Source organism: Homo sapiens, chromosome 20 (assembly GCF_000001405.40).
Source record: "Homo sapiens chromosome 20, GRCh38.p14 Primary Assembly".
NCBI lineage: Eukaryota > Metazoa > Chordata > Mammalia > Primates > Hominidae > Homo > Homo sapiens.
Genome location: NC_000020.11, coordinates 36,775,089 through 36,796,242, shown reverse-complemented (window position 1 = coordinate 36,796,242; position 21,154 = coordinate 36,775,089). Strand labels below are relative to the sequence as shown.

Below are 21,154 nucleotides of genomic sequence, written 5' to 3'. Positions count from 1 at the left end.
CTGCCTCTTGAAGTTAATCAGAGTGGTCTGACACGTGCATTTCCATATGCCTGGTGTGTTCAGTGATTCAGGCAATAGGTGTGCCAGGAGCTTCATGGCGTCTTAGTTTGGGTTCCCCCATAAGCAAACCCTGAGACAAAGATTTAAGTGCAAATGGTTTATTTGGGACAGAATTTCAGGAAACACTTGGAAGTGAGACAGGGAAGGGAAAGCAGCCGATAAAAGGAGCTTCAACCAGGTTATTCCACGGGCAACTGGAGTTCAGGCTGTCGGAGGAACTCAGGGAGCCAGAGGAGAACATGCAGCTTAGAGTCATCCCACCACAAGGAGGCTGGGGCACTTGTTCACCATATCCCACCTATTGTTTGTTGAGGGCTGTGTTTAGGGGTGTGAACTCATTAACTCTGTGCTATCTCTAGCTTCGGTTTGGGCGTGTGTTTTGTTTTTTTTGTTTTTGTTTTTTTTTTGAGGCAGAGTTTTGCTCTGTCTCCCAGGGTGGAGTGCAATGGCACAATCTTAGTTTACTGCAACCTCCACCTCCCAGGTTCAAGCAATTCTCCTGCCTCAGCCTCCTGAGTAGCTGGGGTTACAGGCTAACGCCACCACGCTTGGCTAATTTTTGTATTTTTACTAAGAGATAGGGTTTTACCATCTTGGTCAGGCTAGTCTCAAACTCCTGACCTCAGGTGATCTGCCTGCCTCAGCATCCCAAAGTGCTGGGTCTAGCTTCTTCTATGTGTAGGACAGCCAAGTATGATCCCACAGGCAGAAAAAAAAACCATCAGATAGAGAATGGTGGAGTATGCAGTTCAGAGTATGCAGTTTTAGGTGTATAGGTGAAAGTGCAAAGAGAGGCCAGGTGCAGTGGCTCATGCCTCTAATCCCAGCATTTTGAGAGGCAGAGGCAGGAAGATCTCTTGAGGCCAGAAGTTTGAGACCAGCCTGGGCAACATAGGGAGATCCCCATCTCTACAAAAAATTTTTTAAAAATTAGCCAGGTGTTAGGCTGGGCACAGTGGCTCACATCTGTAATCCCAGCACTTTGGGAGGCTGAGGCGGGTGGATCACCTGAGGTCAGGAGTTCCAGACCAGCCTGGCCAACATGGTGAAACCCCGTCTCTACTAAAAATACAAAAATTAGCTGGGCGTGGTGGCGCACGCCTGTAATTTCATCTGCTCCGGATGCTGAGACAGGAGAATCTCTTGAACCTGGAGGGTGGAAGTTGTAGTGAGCCGAGATCATGCCACTGCACTCCAGCCTGGGTGACAGAACAAGACTCTGTCTCAAGAAAAAAAAAAGAAAAAAAAAAGCCAGGTTTGGTGGTGCACACCTGTAGTCCCAGCTACTCTGGAGGCTGAAATGGGAGGATCACTTGAGCCCAGGAGTTTGAGGCTGCAGTGAGCTATTATTGCACTACTGCATTCCAGCCTGGGTGACATATCAAGACCTGTTTGGGAGAAAAAAAAAAAAAAGAAAATGCAGACAGAATGTGGGACTGGGCACCAACAACATCTCTACAAGAGGTGAACAAGACGGTCCTGGTCTTTGCCCTCACGCAGCACACGGACCAGGGTGGTAGACCAGAGTGTGCCCTCAGTGTTATTTCCACTAATAACGACGTTTCCTCCTCTGTCCTTCGCAGAACCAAATCTGTTTCTTCCATGTCTGAGTTTGAAAGTTTGCTCGACTGTTCCCCTTACCTTGCTGGCGGAGATGCCCGGGGCAAGAAGCTGCCTAACAACCCTGCCTTTGGCTTTGTGAGCTCCGAGCCAGGGGATCCAGAGAAAGACACCAAGGAGAAGCCTGGGCTCTCGTCGAGGGACTGCAACCACCTGGGTGCCCTGGCCTGCCAGGACCCCCCAGGGAGGCAGATGCAGCGCAGCTACACGGCTCCTGACAAGACGGGCATCCGAGTCTACTATAGTCCCCCGGTGGCCCGGCGCCTCGGAGTCCCTGTGGTTCATGACAAAGAGGGCAAGATCATTATCGAGCCCGGCTTCCTCTTCACCACAGCCAAGCCCAAAGAGTCGGCCGAGGCTGATGGGCTGGCTGAGAGCTCCTATGGTCGGTGGCTCTGCAACTTCTCACGGCAGCGCCTGGACGGAGGCTCAGCGGGCAGCCCCTCGGCGGCCGGGCCTGGCTTCCCAGCGGCCCTGCATGACTTTGAGATGTCAGGCAACATGAGTGATGACATGAAGGAGATCACCAACTGTGTGCGCCAGGCCATGCGCTCCGGCTCACTGGAGAGGAAAGTGAAGAGCACATCCAGCCAGACGGTGGGCCTGGCCAGTGTGGGCACACAGACCATCCGCACGGTCAGCGTGGGCCTGCAGACCGACCCACCCCGCAGCAGCCTCCATGGCAAGGCCTGGTCACCCCGCAGCTCTTCGCTCGTGTCTGTGCGCAGCAAGCAGATCTCCTCCTCCCTGGACAAGGTCCATTCGCGCATCGAGCGGCCCTGCTGCTCCCCCAAGTATGGCTCACCAAAGCTCCAGAGGCGGTCTGTGTCCAAGCTGGACAGCAGCAAGGACCGCAGCCTGTGGAACCTGCACCAGGGCAAGCAGAACGGCTCGGCCTGGGCCCGCTCCACCACCACGCGGGACAGCCCTGTATTGAGAAACATCAACGATGGACTCTCCAGCCTCTTCAGTGTGGTGGAGCACTCAGGGAGCACGGAGTCTGTCTGGAAACTAGGCATGTCTGAGACGCGGGCCAAGCCCGAGCCTCCCAAGTACGGCATTGTGCAGGAATTCTTCCGTAATGTGTGTGGCCGGGCACCGAGCCCCACCTCATCAGCAGGAGAGGAGGGCACCAAGAAGCCAGAGCCCCTCTCCCCAGCCAGCTACCATCAGCCAGAGGGTGTGGCCAGGATCCTGAACAAGAAGGCAGCCAAGTTGGGCAGCAGTGAGGAGGTCAGACTCACCATGCTCCCCCAGGTGGGGAAGGATGGTGTCCTCCGGGACGGAGATGGAGCCGTGGTCCTTCCCAATGAGGTAGGTGGGTGGGATCTGTCCTTTCTCTTAGTAGGTGGAGTTAGTATATAAGGTCCAAGCTCTTTTGGTTTTTAAGTTCAGAGATATGGGCCGAGGTGGGTGGATCGCCTGAGATCAGGAGTTCAAGACCAGTCTGGCCAACATGGTGAAACCCCATCTCTACTAAAAATACAAAAATTGGCCAGGCGTGGTGGCATGCACCTGTTGTCCCAGCTGCTCTGGAGGCTGAGGTAGGAGAATCACTTGAACCCAGTAGGCGGAAGTTGCAGTGAGCTGAAATTGTGCTATTGCACTCCAGCCTGGGTGACAGACTAAGACTCCGTCTCACCAAAAAAAAAAAATTATCTATCTGTCTGTCTGTCTGTCTGTCTGTCTGTCTGTCTGTCTGTCTATCTATCTATCTATCTATCTATATATCTATATATATAAAATAAAAATTCAGGGATATGGCCATGTGTTCCAGGAAGTTCTTATGCTGGTCTAGGATAGAGTTGGAAGGTCCCAGACCTGGAACAACACAGACCTGATGGTCACATGGTCTGAATTCCAAGAGACTAGTGAGCATGGCTTAACTAGCAGCTTTTGCTCCACCCACCAGAGACTGCCAGCATCCCCTCCAGGGAAGGGGCCTTACTGCTCTCCTGCCACCCAGTGGTGTGCTAGAGCCAGCTTGTTTGGCTTGCAGGAGCCAATTGTCAGCATCTCTGTGGGTTTTTTTTTTTTTATTGTTTTTGTTTTTGTTTTGAGAGAAGTCTCGTTCTTGTCCCCCAGGCTTGAGTGCAATGACTCAATCTCGGCTCACTGTAACCTCCGCCTCCTGGGTTCAAACAATTCTGTCTCTGCCTCCCAAGTAGCTGGGATTAAGGCACCTGCCACCATGCCCGGCTAATTTTTGTATTTTTTAGTAGAGACGGGGTTTCACCATGTTGGCCAGGCTGGTCTCGAACTCCCGACCTCAAGTGATCCGCCCACCTTGGCCTCCCAAAGTGTTAGGATTACAGGCGTGAGCCACCGCGCCTGGCCACATCTCTGTGTTTAACATCACCTTGGTACCTTGAGATTGGCCACAGTGGGAGGATTTACAGCATAAAAATTGGTAAACACTACAAATCGGGGCTCCTCCTATCACTCCTGGAAAACTAATTGTTAAACATTAGCGGGCATACCACTTCTCCACCCCATCAAGACTTCACACCTAAGTGCTCACATTTCCTCTGAGAATCTTTCACACCCCACTCCTGCTATCAGTTTCTTATAAGTTAATTAGTAAACCTTATTTGAATGTTAGTGAGCATTATTTGAATGTGTTAGAATGTGCATAAGTTAACTTTGCAGAAAGGGAAGGAAATGTATTTGAAGGATGGCATGTTTTATAAAACCCAAGAGTAGGAACCTGACAACCTCAGCAGCTTCTCCCTGTCTTCCTCTCCTCTCTTTAAGCTTCACCCTCTCTGATATCATATTCCTCCTTTTTCTCTGTTTCTCTCTCTGTTGCATTTGCACAAGGACTGGGTGGGCTGTCCCAGCTCTGACTTTACAACATCTTCCAGTTCAAGCCCCTAGGAGAGACTGACACAAATCCCTGTCTCCCAATTCCACATTTCTGAAAGAAGGAAACTCTGATTGGTGCAGCTAGAGGCGAGTGTACCCCTTGGTCCAGTCTATGGCTGGGAGTGGTACCATGTGGTCTGCTGTGGGGCACAGAGACATGAGAAGGGCTGTGTGTGGAATGGGCTGTGATAGACTCAAACATTCTACTTTTCTATTATTGTACGTTTAGGTGGTTTCTAGTTTGTCCCTACTGCAAATAATGCTGTGGTGAACATCTTGGTGCAAAATCATTTTTTTACATTTCAGACTATTTCCTTAGGTATAAGTTGCAGAAATGAGATTAAAGGATAATAGAATATAAATGTGGCCGGGCGCGGTGGCTCATGCCTGTAATCCCAGCACTTTGGGAGGCCGAGGCGGGTGGATCACAAGGTCAGGAGTTTGAGATCAGCCTGGCCAATATGGTGAAACCCTGTCTGTACTAAAAATACAAAAATTAGCCGGGCATAGTGGTGGTCACCTGTAGTCCTAGCTACTCAGGAGGCTGAGGCAGGAGAATCGCGTGAACCCAGGAGGCGGAGGCTGCAGTGAGCTGAGATGGTACCACTGCACTCCAGCCTGGGTGACAGAGTGAGACTCCATCTCCACACAAAAAAAAAAATATAAATGTTTTAAAGTTATTTGATAAATACTGCCAAATTGTTTTTCAAAAGTGTGCCATATCTACAGCTTCCAGCAGTGTGTGGCGAGTGCGTTACTTTTCTATACTCTCACTCAGCTGGCTGACATTTAAAAACATCTTTTAAATATTTATTCCTTTTTTGGCCAGGTGCAATGGCTCATGTCTCTAATCCCAGCACTTTGGGAGACTGAGGTGGGCAGATCACTTGAGCTAGGAGTTCAAGACCAGTCTGAGCAACATGGTGAGAGCTCATCTCTACATTAAAAAAAAAAAAAAAGAGGCCAGGCATGGTGGCTTACGCCTGTAATCCTAGCACTTTGGGAGGCCGAGGCAGGTGGATTGCCTGAGCTCAGGAATTTAAGACCAGCCTGGGCAACACAGTGAAACCCCATCTCTACTAAAAAATACAAAAAATTAGCCAGGCGTGGCAGCATGCGCCTATAGTCCCAGCTACTCGGGAGGCTGAGGCAGGAGAATTGCTTGAAGCCGGGAGGTGGAGGTTGCAACAAGCTGAGACCACGCCACTGCACTCTAGCCTGGGCAACAGAGCAAGACTCCATCTTTTAAAAAAAAAAAAAAAAAAAAAAGGGCCAGGCGTGGTGGCTCACACCTGTAATCCCAGCACTTTGGGAGGCCGAGAGAGGTGGATTGCTTGAAGCCAGGAGTTTGAGACCAGCCTGGCCAACGTAGCAAAACCCTGTCTCTACTTAAAAAATACAAAAATTGGCCGGGCGCAGTGGCTCACGCCTGTAATCCCAGCACTTTGGGAGGCTGAGGTGGGTGGATCATGAGGTCAGGAGATCGAGACCATCCTGGCTAACACAGTGAAACCCCGTCTCTACTAAAAATACAAAAAGTTAGCCAGGCGTGGTGGCAGGCGCCTGTAGTCCCAGCTACTCGGGAAGCTGAGGCAGGAGAATGGCATGAACCCGGGAGGCGGAGCTTGCAGTGAGCCGAGATCGCGCCACTGCACTCCAGCCTGGGTGACAGAGCGAGACTCCATCTCAAAAAAAAAAAAAAAAAAAAATACAAAAATTAGCTGGGCATGGTGGCACATGCTTACAGTTCCAGCCACTTGGGTGATTGAGGCATGAGAATTGCTGGAACCCAGGAGGCAGTGAGCCAATATCGCACCACTGCACTCCAGCCTGAGCAACAGAGTGAGACTCTGTCTCAAAAATAAATAAATAATAAAGTCTCAAGGCAGGAAAAAAGCAAGTGTCTCAGTCTGAAGGCTGTCAGGCAGGAAGAATTCTCTTACTTGAGGGAGAGTAAGCCCTCTTGTTCTGTTCAAGCCTTTAACTGACTGGATGGGGTCCATGTTAGGGAGAATTCGCTTTTTTTTTTTTTTGAGACGGAGCCTCACTCTGTCACCCAGGTTGGAATGCAGTGGTGTGATCTCGGCTCACTGCAACCTCTGCCTCCCAGGCTCAAGCGATTCTTGTACCTCAGCTTCCCAACCAAGTAGCTGGGATTACAGGCACATGCCACCACGCCCGGCTACTTTTTTATTTTTAGTAGAAATAGGGTTTCACCATGTTGGCCAGGCTGGTCTCGAACTGCTAATCTCAAGTGATCCGCCTGCCTCAGTCTCCCAAAGTGGTGGGATAACAGACGTGAGCCACTGCGCCTGGCTGAGAATTTACATGTTAATCTCATCTCAAAGCACTCTGACAGAAACACCCAGAACAATGTTTTACGTAATATCTCGGCACCTGTGGCCCAGTCATATTGAATATAAAATTAACCATCACTTCCATATAACCAGCACCACATCAAGAAACAACAGCACAAAGCTGGCTGGATTTTGAATGTTGATTTTAAAGTTGATCCAAATATTGTTCAGTATGTAAAATGTGCGTGCTACCCATTGACCCAGTAGTTCTTCTTTTACGAAGGTAGCCTATGGAAATATTCACAGAGATGGATAAAGAAAAATAAAAAGAGGCTGGGCGCAGTGGCTCACCCAATCACCTGAGGTCGGGAGTTTGAGACCAGCCTGACCAATGCCGAGAAACCCCATCTCTACTAAAAATACACAATTAGCCGGGCGTGGTGGCACATGCCTGTAATCCCAGCTACTCGGGAGGCTGAGGCAGGAGAATCGCTCGAACCCGGGAGGCAGAGGTTGCTGTGAGCTGAGATCGCATCATTGCACTCCAGCCTGGGCAACAAGAGCTAAACTCTGTCTCAAAAAAAAAAAAAAAAAGAAAAGAAAAGAAAAAGAAAAAAAGAGAGAGGGGAGGAAATCAAAGCTCAAGAGAGGTTAAGTAAATCTCCCAAGGTCACACAGCTAGTAATTGGCAAAGCTGGGATTTAACCAAGCAGTTTGGCTCTATCACAGCACTTTTATTTTATTTATTTATTTATTTATTTTTGAGACGGAGTCTCGCTCTGTTGCCTAGGCTGGAGTGCAGTGGCACGATCTTGGCTCACTGCAAGCTCCGCCTCCCAGGTTCACGCCATTCTCCTGCCTCAGCCTCCTAAGTAGCTGGGACTACAGGCACCTGCCACCGCGCCCGGCTAATTTTTTGTATTTTTAGTAGAGACGGGGTTTCAGATGGTCTCGATCTCCTGACCTCGTGATCCACCCGCCTTGGCCTCCCAAAGTGCTGGGATTACAGGCATGAGCCACCGCGCCCGGGCCATTTTATTTATTTTTTAAAGAGATGGGGTCTTGCTCTATTGCTCAAGCCAGAGCCCAGTGACACAATCATAGCTCACTGCTGCCTTGACCTCCTGGGCTCAAAGGATCCTCCTGTCTCAGCCTCCCACATGGCCCAGCCCAGCAGCACTTTTTTTTTTTTTTTTTTTTGAGATGGAGTCTCACTCTGTCCCCCAGGCTGGAGTGCAGTGATGTGATCTCGGCTCACTGCAACCTCCGCCTCCTGAGTTCAAGCCGTTCTGCTGCTTCGGTCTCCCAAGTAGCTGGGACTGCAGGAATGTGCCACCATGCCCGGGTAATTTTTGTATTTTGAGTAGAGATGGGGTTTCACCATGTTGGCCAGCCTGGTCTTGAACTCCTGACCTCAGGTGATCCACCTGCCATAGCCTCCCAAAGTGCTGGCATTACAGGTGTGAGCCACCATGGCCAGCTGTCCAGCAGCACTTTTTTTTTTTTTTTTTTTTTCAGATGGAGTCTTGCTCTTTCACCCAGGCTGGAGTGCAGTGGCACAATCTCAGCTCACTGCAACCTCCGCACCCTGGGTTTAAGCGATTCTCCTGCCCTAGCCTCCCGAGTAGCTGGGACTACAGGCGCATGCCACCATGCCCAGCTAATTTTTGTATTTTTAGTAGAGATGGGGTTTCACCATGTTGGCCAGGATGGTCTCGATCTCCTGACCTCGTGATCCACCTGCCTCAGCCTCCCAAAGTGCTAGGATTACAGGCATGAGCCACCGTGCCTGGCAGCAGCACTTTTGATCATTATTTCTGTTTATTGGTAATAGTAAAAAATTAGAAACTACCCAGATGTACATAAAAAGTGAATTGGGGCCAGGCACAGTGGCTCACACCTGCAATCCCACCACTTTGGAAGGCCGAGGCGGGCAGATCACTAGAGGTCAGGAGTTTGAGCCTGACCAACATGCTAAAATCCCCTCTCTACTAAAAATACAAAAATTAGCTAGGCATGGTGGCACACGCTTGTAATCTTAGCTACTTGGGAGGCTGAGGCACAAGAATCACTTGAATCCGTGAGGTGGAGGTTGTAGTGAGTCAAGATCGTACCACTGCACTCCAGCCTGGGGAACAGAGCAAGATTCTGTCTAAAAAATAAAAAAATAAAAAAAGCGAATTGGGTATATAAATCAGTTATTTCTATCTAGTGAAATGGTACAGAGACACTAAAAAAGAAGGCGATCAGCCAGGCATGGTGGCTCATGCCTTTGGGAGGCATGAGCACCCAAAGGTGCTAATTCCAGCAGTTTGGGAGGCTGAGGCAGGAGGATCGCTTGAGCCCAGGAGTTCAAGACCAGCCTGAGCAACATAGTGAGACCCTGTCTCAAACGAAAAAAAAGGATAAAAAGGAAGGAGATCTAGACATACCTAGTGACAGAAAAGTGTTCGTGTTTTACAGTTGCAAAATAAGCTGTCATTTTGGTAAATGTATGTTAAGAATCTCTTTGGCGTGCAGGACCATGGACAGTGTCCACTGTCCTCTCTGTATAGCCTAGAATATATTACAATGAACTTCCATTACCGCTCTAATGGGAGAAGAACAACAGAAAGAAAAAATTGGTCCAGTGAGGAGCTTCAGCCCCTGGGAACTGGTTTATGGCCGAGTCTCAGTTCCTTGCCTGGCATACCACACAGCTCATGGTGGTCCATGTCTCCTGGCTCCTCTTGACTTCCTGCCTCCCTGCCTCCCTCTTCCTAGGACGCTGTTTGTGACTGTAGTACCCAGTCTCTCACCTCCTGCTTCGCCCGATCGTCCCGCTCTGCCATCCGCCACTCTCCTTCCAAGTGCAGGCTGCACCCTTCAGAGTCCAGCTGGGGTGGGGAGGAGAGGGCACTCCCCCCCAGCGAGTGACAGAGCAGCCAAGCTCCCCGCCTCAACCAGCCCAGCCCCTGGATAGCAGAAGGGAACCAGCAGAGACGAGACGAGGTGAGGCGAGGGGCTGTGTCCTCAGCATTGCCTGGCCCTGGAGGGACAGCAGTGATGCCACTGCCAGAATGCAGCTTTCACATCAAGGTAAAGCCGGGTCTCCTGCTGGCCCCTGGGTGGTGAGCTTCGACTTCCCAGGGGAAGGCAGTGAGTGGGAGAGAGACCAAACCTGGGCTTCCCAAGCATCCACTGAGAGATCTGTCAAGAGCCGATCCCTGGGTCCTAAGAGAGAGCCTTGCCTGGTTCTGCCCATGCCACCCTCTTGGAAGAGCCCAAGAAGGATACATGTCTGGCCATGCCTTTGGGGAAAAGGAGTCGGAGAGATGTTTCCTGCTGACCATCCACCCCTTCATTTGGGAGGAGACACTGCTGAGAAGAACAGGCTTTGCTCTAGGGCTCCATGTTTGGTTCCTGGTGGAGCCCTGTTGGGCATCATCACCATCACCTCCTTCTCTCCACCACCTCCTCCTCCCAGCCCCACTGCTCTAGATTGCTGGGACACTAGGGAGTATGATAGGGCAGTAGCCAGGGCCATTGCTTAGTGTCCTGGAGCCCTGGATCTCCCTGCCCATAGCCTGGATGCAGCAAGAGCTGGGAGGCGAAGTGGAAACATGCAGGGCTCAGGGTTGGGGAGTGATTGCAATTGCCTTCCTTGCCAAAGTGACTTGGGGCCCCAACGTTCCCAGCAGACCCCTTGAGGACAGAAATAGGTAGAGTCAGTCTCAAGACCTGGTGCATAGATAAATGCCTAAATACACTGCCTTGATCTCAAGTGATCTCAGAGGCCTCTTTCCCTGGCACCCTGAGAGGCAGCAGGCACTACATCTCCACTGTGTTTACATCCTGCAGCTGGTCGGGGGGCAAAGATATTCCCAGTAAGAGATTCTTGGTTGGCCAGGTCAGGCCCAGGAGAACACCAAGAGGCCAGAGCCCAGGACACAGCAGTAGACTGGGGCCTGGAAACACGTATCTTGCCTAGATTGTTTATTTGAATTTTTCCTACTATAAATATTTAAGGTGGTTTACTTTATTTTAATAATTTAATTTACCCCAAAGTCCCTAAGGTAATTTATTGGAGGTTGAAACATGCATTCTTGCCACTGGGACAACATGAGGCCTCTAACAGCACGGGCAGGCATGGGGTCCCCTGGGTGGACGAGGCCGCTTGGCAGCCAGGTTTGGAGACCTGGCCTCCTGGTCAGCTTTGGAGGGCCCCTCAACAGAGCTGGAGCCCTGCACCCCAACACGGCTGGCCATGTGGCCTCAGAACACTACTTATTACTCAATGCCTGGTACTTGGCCAGCCCCAGCGGTCAGTCTATAAATACTCACTGACAAGGTGGAGGGCTGGACGGCCATCACCACTCCCCAGACGTTCTCCATTGCCTGTCTCATTTCCCTCCCTCCCTCTGACACCTTTCTTCATGAGTCGAACGTGGATTACTAAAGCTCTATTAAGAGTGTGGAGATCCCTCCAAGTTTCCCAAATGAGAACTCACAGGAAAACAGGACTGAACTTTGAGAATGTTGTTTATCGCAGCTTTGCACATAAACCTGAGTGTCTCCCAGCCTGCCTCGGTTCTCACCAGCCTGCCAGCCTTTTCACCAGCCTCTCTCCTTAGCCTTATGGCCTTTCACGGCTCTTCTCCCTGCCCCAGCTCTGCTGCCCGCCCTTCCTCACGTCCCCTGTGAGCTGCCTGAGCCATTGGTTGGATTTCGATGTGGCTCATTGCAGCATGTGGGGCAGCGCCTCCCATGGCCTCGCCTTGGTGCCGGTGAACCCCTTTTGGTTGCACACATGCTCCCCACACACACATAGACATCAGCCTTCCTGTAACTGACTGGGGACCCAGAGTGGAAACACCAGGATGGATCAGCTTGTCTGCAGAATTGCCCATCAGGAAGACCAAAAGCCAGTAGCTTTGCTGATCTGCCCCCAGGACTCTGGAGGCGCCCCTGCACTCCCACCTCCCACCTGCCAGTTCCCAGACCCACCCATTCGGGATCACCTGGACCAGTTACCCCAAGTCCTGCATCTCCCTTCCCTGCAGGCTGAACACCAGGGTCATGCCAGTCCCGCCAGCCGCCTCCTCCATGCCCCAGTGACTGGTGTGGGCAGAGCAGGCAGCCAGTGGAGCTGTGGGCCAGTTCCGCTCTTGGATGCTGCTGCTCTCACCCATGAGGTCAGGGGGGCCCTCCAAGGTTATCTCCAGGTGAGGGGATTCACATCAGGCCACAAGCCACCAGAGGCCTTCTGCCACCTCCCAGAGCGACAGCCAGGGAGGCTGCGTACTCAGCCTCGGGGAGAAATCCCCGTGGGACCTGAGCCCCAAGACCTACGGACCACTCAGCCTTACCATCGTACCGTCCAGGATTGTCCTTGCCATCTTTGTTGTCTCAGCCAGACCTTGGTTTTCAGTAAAGCCCCAGTTTCTACTTCCTGCATGCCACTGTGCAAGGCCACTCATCACTGTTCCTGCAGAAGCCTCTGGACGTGGGGCTGGATGGGGTTGAAAATGTTACATGTAAATATTGGTTTGGTTCGGTTTTTAGCATTTTACTTGGTAACTGGTTGTTTTCTTTTTTGGGGTGGGGGGATTGGTTTGTAAAAATTCTCTACTCTTTTGGAATGTGATTTCTAAGTTTGTTGGTTTCTTCAAATGCCTTTTAAGTCTTGGTAACATTCCCAAAGCAGAAAACTGCCTGACCCACAGTGGGGATTCCCTGGAGAATTGGGGTCCCAAGAAGGAATGCTGCCCTTCTCGAACCCGTTCTCCCCCTTCCTCCTGCCTCTCTGCCTTTTACTGCTATTCCCTTCTTCTCCTCCTTTATCCTTCTTTCTGTTTTCCCCATCTCCACTCTCTCTTCAACCAAAGTCCCAAGGAACCCTCGGGGCTCAATCCCCCATAGACCACTTGGCTTGGGTCCATGGGGTTGGCATCAGTTGGTTGGCGGAAATGGGGGACCAGTTGGCATGATGGCCCTAAACTGGGAAACCTCATGTTTCTTATGTCTCACCTCTTTCCAGAGCCAAATCAGCCCCTTTTGGAATGATGACTTCATTGGAATGCAAATCAAGTCATTTTGGTGCATCAGTGGCTCTTAGGCCTGCACACACGAGACATCAGAATCCAATCCTCTGACCCTGTGCCAGCCCTTTCCCCCAGTTTATTTCCCACCAAAGGCTGACCTCTAAGAGGTCTTGCTTTCTATGAACTCAAGATGGGTCCCACCTCTAGGTGTCCCCAGGTGCACTCTTCTACCGGTTGGCTTCCGATGTGACAAGGCCAAGGGCCCAAAGACTTGACCCTCTTACACCCTTGCTGACATGGTTCCATCATGTCCACCCGCATGCACTTTTATGGTTTCATCACCCAGCCTCTTCTCCTCTGGCCCACCCAGCGTCCAGGCTCTTTCTCCCTCTCCCCTCCTATCTAGAATGTCCCCTGCTTCTAGCCTCACCAGACCCCCCAAGCTCCCACTACTTCTTCCATAATAATAGTAATAACAATGGTTATCATCATCCCCTGCACATCCCGCCTAAAGCACTTTACTATATAGAAAACGTTTCCCCTGGCCGGGCATGGTGGCTCACGCCTGAAATCCCAGCTCTTTGGGAGGCTGAGGCGAGCGGATCAGTTGAGGTCAGGAGTTCAACGCCAGCCTGGCCAACGTGGTGAATCCCTGTCTGTACTAAAAGTACAAAAAATTAGCTGAGCATGGTGGTGCGTGCCTGTAATCCCAGCTACTCGGGAGGCTGAGGTGGGAGAATCGCTTGAGCCCAGGAGGCGGAGGTTGCAGGAGCAGAGATTGCGCCACTGCACTCCAGCCTGGATGACAGAGTGAGACCCAATCTCAAAAAAGAAATCGTTTCCCACCCCACATCTCCTTCAGACCTCTCAGGGACAACTCTGGGAGGCAGCCTTGGCAGGACATGGGTTAGTGCGCCCATTTTGCTGTGAGGAAACTGAGGTACAGGTCTCATCCCAGAGCATGAGAAGTCACTGAGTTTAGATGAGAACTTGGGTCCAACTCTGTCCTGTTTGCTGTGCAAATCCGCTGCCCTGCTGGGGGCTTTTGGTGGGTCCAGAATACCCAGAATATGCTGCTGGCCAACCCAGGCATAAAACAAGTCCATTCTAGATCACTGAGCCTTGTGTATTCCAGAGGGTGATCTGAGGTCCCCATTCAGCAGAATTCTCTGAGGGCATGTTCAGAATGTAGATTCCTGGGCCCCACCTTGAATTTGCATGTTTAACAAACTCTCCTGGGGTTGAGGGGTGGGTGCAGTGGTCACACCTGTAATCCCAGCACTTTGGGAGGCTGAGGCGGGTGGATCACTTGAGCTCAGGAGTTCGAGCCTGGCCAATATGGTGAAACCCTGTCTCTACTAAAAATGCAAAAATTAGCCAGGTGTGGTGGCACATGCCTGTAATCCCAGCTACTTGGGAGGCTGAGGCAGGAGAATCACTTGAACCTGGTGGGGAGCAGCGGTTGCAGTGAGCCGAGATTGTGCCATTGCGCTCTAGCCTGGGCAACGGAATGAGACTTGTCTCAAAAAAAATAAAAAATAAAACCAGCCCTCCCCGGGGGATCTTAGGCACTATTGGCCACACCATTGGTGTTCGTGGCCCTGATTATTAGGCTATCTTTCTTTTTTTAAGTTTTTTTAGATTTATTTTTTATTTTATTTATTTATTTATTTATTATTTATTATTATTATTTTTAGAGACAGGGGGTCTCCCTATGTTGCCCAGGCTGGTTTCAAACTCCTGGGCTCAAGTGATCTGCCCTCCTCAGCCTCCCAAAGTGCTGGGGTTACAGGCAGGCATCAGCCACCGTGCCAGGTCATCTTCCTTTTTCTTTTTTTTTTGGAGACAGAGTCTTGCTCTGTCATTCAGGCTGGAGTACAGTGGCGCCATTTCAGCTCACCGCAGCCTCCACCTCCCAGGTTCAAGCAGTTCTCCTGCCTCAACCTCCCGAGTAACTGGGATTACAGGTGTGTGCCACCACACCCGACTAATTTTTTTATTTTTAGTAGAGACGGGGTTTCACCATGTTGGCCAGGCTGGTCTTGAACTCCTGACCTCAGGTGATCCACCCACCTCGGCCTCCCAAAGTACTGGGATTATAGGCGTGAGCCACGGCATCCAGCCTCATCTTTCTTTTAACCAATAAACATGATGCTGTATCTTAAAAAGAGCACTGAGCAGGGACTTAAGGGATCGAGTCCTCAACCAAACTGATTTAATTACTCAGGATTTTCAAAAAGCATCAGAGGCTATTTACAATCTTAATCATAGGGGTTCAGTAAAATAAAAATAAGAAGTAAAAAAGCAAGAGAAATTATTCTGTAAATCTAACTGGTGTAATTCCCATAATCATGCAATTAAGTTTTACTCTTGAGTTTCCTGACAGCCATTGGTAAAAAGAGAAACACATCAGGATTTATAATTTTTATCATCCAATTATGGGAAGCAAGCATGTTGGCCCCAGGAGACGAACTCTTCTACTAATTTATAGCATGTATCCTTTCATCAAGGGCCACTGAGCCAGTTGGTGAGTCAACGGGTGAACCTAAGATGCAAGGATGTTTTCCAGGTGACTATTTAAAAAAATAAATAATCCACCAACGTGATTGACCTTGGCGAGATCATGTTTCTAGTCTATACCTCAGTTTCCCCATCTGTAAAGTGAGGATAATGTCCCACCCCATGTAACTGTGGTGAGGACCAACTGCAACACTGTGCCTGCGAGTCTCCTTGGAAAAGTGTAAGGTTCTACACAAATGGAAAGTGATCTGATCACACTCAGTGTCCCCAGCCCAGCCTTTCAGTGCCCTGGCCCTGGGGTGGGGGACAATACTCTCCTCACCCCCTTCACTAGTCTTCATGAATAGCAAGGAGGCCATAACATAATTTGGTCTAAACCCCTTCCTTTTTAAAAGAATGATGGCAAAATGTGCATAACATTAAATTTACCATTTTAAAGATTTCTAAGTGTCTCGAAGTACATTTGCAATGTGTAACTGCCACCTCCAGAACTTTTTCATCATCCTAAACTGAAACTCTGTACCCACTAAACAGTAACTCCCCACTCCCCCTGTCCCCAGTCCCTGGTAACCTCTATTCTACTTTTTTTTTTTCTCTGTGGATTGGCCTATTCTAGGTATCTCTTTTAAGTAGAATCATATAGTATTTGTCCTTTTGTGTCCAGCCCCCTCATTTTTTGAGATGAGGAATCAGGCCCAGAGAAGGCAGTGGCTCACCCAAGGTCACATCGCAAACCAGAGGCAGAGCCAAGACCAGAACCCAGGTTTCCTGACTCCTAACAGGTCTTGCATCCCCAGTAGTGAATGAGACACTGCTTTGACTTTCTGTAATCTTGGTTTAGCCCCTTCCTTTCTCTGGGCTCAGTCTGCTTCCCACCACTCACCCATTCTTTCTTTATCATCTCCCTCCAAAGCCTCTTGTCCTCCTGCCTCCTCTTCTCCTTGGCTGGTTCCTGCCAGCAAATGGAGTGGCCCTGGTCCATGCCAGGTTTTCCTCTTCTGGGTCCGGAGCTCACTATAGTATTCAGCCCTCAGTCCTCCCAGGATGTTCTTCCCAGCACTGCTGCCTCGTGCGGATTTTCCCGTAACCTCAGTAACTGGCTTCTTGTCCCCCTGCTTCCTACCAGGGAAGCCTTCCTGTCCGCGTCTGTGGTTTCCCAACTCTGATATTTGCTCTCAAATGTGGTGGTGTCCTGGTTCTGTGTTTATTTATTTTGTGTTTTCTCACACACACAAAAAAAAGCCTCTTCCTCCAATGCATCAGGAGGCACCAGCCCTGCCAGCCCTTCTCACTGGGCTCACCCTGCCCCAGCAACCCCCCGGTGCCACCCTTAAGCCACACTGTCTTCTCTGTAAGCAGCCTGCCAGCAGCAGCCCCAGCACTTTGCAATGGGCGTGTGTGTGGTGGTGGGTGGGGGGGGCTTGGATCCCTCCTTTTTCCTCCCCTGCCCTGCCCAGGCCCAGATGGCCTTGACTGTAAAGCAGGTGCTGCCTGACAGGTTCTTCTCTCCCTGTCTCTGGTCATTGATCCATCTCTTTGTCCATTCAGTATCCAACCATCCTCTCCATTCTCCTCTGGACCTCACCACTCTCAGAGCTGCTTGTCCTGGCAGAATCTACAGTTCACCCCAACTCTATGCCTTACCCCTCCCAACCCAACAGCATTTGCAGTTTGCAAAATATACAGACCCAAGTCCTGAGGGGACTGAGGACATGATGCTGGGCCCAAGTCTCCTGCTCAGGGCTTCTCTCCAATGCCAGCCCTGCCACTCCTTCCTCACCCTCCTTGGAGCCTCCTCTGCTGCTTGTCTATCCCAACGGCCCTGCTCCCCTCCCTTCCTGCCCTTCACCAGCTTTCTGGACACCATGCCCTGAGGAAGGGACCTTTGGTTTTCTCTAAACATCTTTGAAGGGCTGAGGCAGTCAGGGCTGGCTGCCTTGTCACTCTTTATTTGGAAGCCACTCAAACCATTCCCAAGAAGAGGGACCTCAGCTGGCAATCTGGAAACCTGGCCCAGGTCTGGGCAGATGTCTTCACTTCTCCTACCTTCCCAGTCTTGTGATCCTGTGATGAGCACCAGGATGGCCCTGTGGTCCCTAGAGCACCCCTCATGCTGTAGGGTCCTGCAGCCCCATCCTTTCTCTACTGGGCCCTGGTATCCTGGCTCCTCTCTCAGCTCTGCCACTGATCTCTGTGCCTTAGTTTACTTCTCTGCACGGGGGACTCACCCCAAGACCATTTCCAGCAGCTTCCCAGGTGATGTGGTGCCCCAAGGCTGGGCTTTGCCAGCTGTGGCCCAGCTCCTTAGTGCTGCCCAGGAGACACCAGGCTGCTCAGAATGAGGTGACTGCGGGCACCATTCTCAGCCAGTGGTTCTTGTATTGCATTCCAGCAGCAGGAATATCACCTGGGAACTTGATAGAAGTGCAGATTAGCAGCCCCACCCAAGACCCACTGAATTAGAGCTTGTGGAGTGGGGCCCTACAAGCTGGGGTTTTAAGGAGCCCTCCAAATGATTCTGACGCATAAGAATATGCCAACTGCTGATCTGGGCTAGCCATTAGTAGAGCCTGGGGAGGGACTGGGACTGGCTAGGCCAAGAACAGGTGGAAAACACCAGCCTTATCTGGACTCCTGAGATTGGGAACCACCACCAACAAAAACCAACCCTATAGTCGCTCCTCTTGGAAGAGGAAGAGAAGTTGAAGGGCCTGGAGAAAGCACACATTGTTTGTTTCCCTGCTCCTGCTCACCTCTCTCACTTGTCTTGGTTTTACAAAAGGCTGTGTGGATGGTGCCAGCCAGGGAGGGGGTGGGAGTCCTGGGGAGGCAGGAGGCAGAAGACCCTGACTGTTTCTCCCTTGGGAACCTCACCATAGGCCAGATAGCGCCTCTTCAAACTGAAAGAAATCTTAACTCCACAAAGAAAGCATCCTAAATCCCCAGTTCCTCCTCCTCCCAACCCCAGGGATACCTTGTAGACAGTGCCAAAAAACAGCTCCAACCCCCAGCAGCTGGGAAGAGAGCCAGAAGCTGCCCTTCCTCCTCATCCTGGCCCCTCCCCAGCCCCCGCCAATACTGTGAACCCCCTTCCCACTCAGCCTGGTTTCCTGGTGAGGGTCCTGCAGTCATGGGCCCTGGGGGACCCCCAGGGCAAGGCCCATGGGAGGGAAGGGACCAAGGGCATCCTTGGGCCAACTGTCCACCTCTCTTGTCCACTATTCTCTCCTTTCCACTTCTGTCTTCAAAAGGCTCCTTCCTAGGATGGATCGGGTGCTAGGACAACTGCAGTCCAATCCACCAGCTCTCCCTGCCCCTGTGTCTTATTTCAGACATGAGAATAACTGTACAGTGTAAACTTATAAAGCGTTTTTAATGGTTGTAGATTGGAAATAAAGTATGTCATATGAACAGCTGCTGTGGACTTGGCCTCCTCTCTGATTTTTCTAATGAGGTGGGTGGGGGCCCCAGCGGATCTGAAACCTAACTTTTCCCCACTCCCAGCTGCCTGGGAAGTGGGGAGCCCAGGGAGGCCACAGCCAGCTGGCTGGTTTGGAGTCACTTGGGAGGGGCCACCAGGTGTTCTGGCTGCTGCCTGCTGATACTTCAGCGTCTCCCACACAGTGTGATATGACCACTGAGAAACAAATGCAGTCTTCAAAAAGAAGAAAAATAGAATTGAACTTTTCTACAAAAGACTTTAACAATTTTATGAAAAAAAAAAAGACACTTTTAGGTGTGTGTCAATTGTCTATTGAAGCGTAATTAATTATTCCGAAACATTTATTATACCCCACAGATGCTATGGGTCAGGAATTTGGGAGCTGGGCAGTTCTGATTCAAGGTCTCAGGAGGTTGCAGTCAGTTGTCAGTCAGGCTACAGTCATTTGAATGCCTGATGAGCTGGAAGACCCATTTGCAAAGTAGCTACTTATGCCTGGCAAGTCATTGCTAGCTGTTTGCAGGAGGCCTCAGTTCCTCACCATGTGGACCTCTGTAGGCTGTTTGCGTGCCTTCACAACATGGCGTCTGGCTTCCTCCACAGCATGTGATCTATGAGAGAGCAGGGAGGAAGTCACAATGTCTTTTATAGCTAAGCCTTGAAACTCACAGACTAGGCCAGGCGCGGTGGCTCATGCCTGTAATCCCAGCACTTTGGGAGGCCGAGGCGGGCAGATCACCTGAGGTCGGGAGTTGGAGATCAGCCTGACCAACATAGAGAAACCCCATCTCTACTAAAAATACACAGTTAGCTGGGTGTGGTGGTGCATGCATGTAATCCCAGCTACTCGGGAGGCTGAGGCAGGAGAATCGCTTGAACTCAGGAGGCAGAGGTTGCTGTGAACCAAGATCGCGCCATTGCACTCCAGCCTGGGCAACAAGAGCAAAACTCCGTCTCAAAAAAAAAAAAAAAAGCCACAGACTATAATGTCTATAATGTCTGCAATATCTAATTGGTTATATAGACTAGCATTCTTCAGCATGGGAGGGGACAACACGAGGGCATGAACACCAGGAACCAGGGGTCATTGGGGGCCATCTTAGAAGCTGGCTACATGATACTTCATAGATCTCTTCTATGAGGGGCTAATAACAGCCAGGCATGTGCTAGGTATTGAGGATACAATGGATGGGCCTGGAAGATATGAAATCAAATGTTAATGGCAGGGGGAGCCCAGGGTGCTCAGCCAGCCCAGAGGAAACAAGAAAGGCTTCACAGAGGAAAGGACATCTGAATGACACCTAAGATTGAGATGTTGACCAGATGAAGGCCATGGTGGTGTGTTGTAGGCACGGGACTGAGGGGAAGTGGTTCCAGGGAGAGGGAATACCATGTGTGAAAGCCTCGTAGAAAGAGAGCAGAGCAGAACTGGGGAACTGAAAGAAGAGGCTGGGTCAGATCACACAGTGCCTTTTTTCTTTTTCCTTTTCTTTTCTTTTTTCTTTTTTTTTTTTTTTTTTGAGATGAAATCTTGCTCTGTTGCCCAGACTGGAGTACAGTGGCATGTTCTTAGCTCACCGCAGCCCTGGCCTCCCAGGTTCAAGTGATTCTCCTGGCCTCCCAGGTTCAAGTGATTCTCCTGCTTCAGCCTCTCAAGTAACAGGGATTATAGGTGCATACCACCACACCTGGCTAATTTTTGTATTTTTAGTAGAGACAGGGTTTTGCTATGTTGGCCAGGCTGGTCTCAAACTCCTGACCTCAACTGATCCGCAGGCCTCAGCCTCCCAAACTGCTGGGATTAGAGGCGTGAGCCACCACACCCAGCCTAATGACACAGTGCCTTATAGGGGAAAAAAATGTGTGCCTCCTGTGGACAGGAGGGAGCCATGCAACAATTCAAAGCAGGGAAACGATGTAGAAGATGTATTGGGTCTGTATTCCATGAAATCATTTTCTCATTGTGCCCCAGGATGGCCAGCCCTAGCTGGGAAGGAACACTGAGTTCTCTTCCTGGCACGTTGACAGAGAGGAGTTTAAGAGGCAGGCAAGCATAAAAGGAACTGGGTACCTCTCAACCCCAGAAAGTGATATTCAGGGAGCCAAGGGCAAATCTCTGCTTTCAGAATGGCTGCTGCAGCCAGCAGGCTGGAACCACAGGGTGGAAATTTCAGGAAGGCAGATTTTTGTCTCCCACCAGAAAACTTTTCCAAGGACCACAACTGCTATGGAAGGATGACCACGGTCAGCTCCAGCTGCCTCTCTCCAACCCCTCTTTTGGACTGTGGGCTGCTTATAATTCAATATTTGGAAGTTTTTCTGTGAAA

The 21,154-nt window shown here is 50.6% G+C and overlaps 1 protein-coding gene and 1 long non-coding RNA gene across 4 annotated transcripts in view, besides 1 other annotated feature; one reads left to right on the top strand and one right to left on the bottom strand.

The window, feature by feature from the left end:
- MTCL2 (microtubule crosslinking factor 2) overlaps window positions 1–18,796 on the top strand; it is an 86,092-nt gene extending 67,296 nt beyond the window's left edge. The window contains exons 14-15 of one of the 2 annotated variants that reach the window (NM_080627.4): window positions 1,644–2,994; window positions 9,606–18,796. In NM_080627.4, the coding sequence (NP_542194.2) occupies window positions 1,644–2,994; window positions 9,606–9,758 (1,504 nt within the window). In that variant the 3' untranslated portion in view covers window positions 9,759–18,796. The remainder of the gene's footprint in view (window positions 1–1,643; window positions 2,995–9,605) is intronic. The other variant, NM_199181.3, reaches the window with a different exon arrangement.
- Window positions 13,516–14,017: an enhancer, noted in NCBI's record as "H3K4me1 hESC enhancer chr20:35410629-35411130 (GRCh37/hg19 assembly coordinates)". NCBI's record gives its function as "activates a minimal SCP1, AML or CMV promoter by ChIP-STARR-seq in naive H9 embryonic stem cells {active_cell/tissue: H9 hESC(naive)}" and the evidence as "EXISTENCE:reporter gene assay evidence [ECO:0000049][PMID:30033119]".
- Window positions 18,797–19,150: 354 nt separating the features above from the next.
- LOC124904894 (uncharacterized) lies at window positions 19,151–21,108 on the bottom strand. Of its 2 annotated transcripts, none has more exons than XR_007067574.1 (2): window positions 21,025–21,108; window positions 19,151–19,438 (listed from the first exon to the last, which is right to left on the bottom strand). It is a non-coding gene; the product is annotated as an uncharacterized LOC124904894 (long non-coding RNA). The 2 variants fall into 2 exon arrangements; XR_007067573.1 differs by lacking the exon at window positions 21,025–21,108 and adding an exon at window positions 20,899–20,961.
- Between the last annotated feature and the right edge of the window lie 46 nt (window positions 21,109–21,154).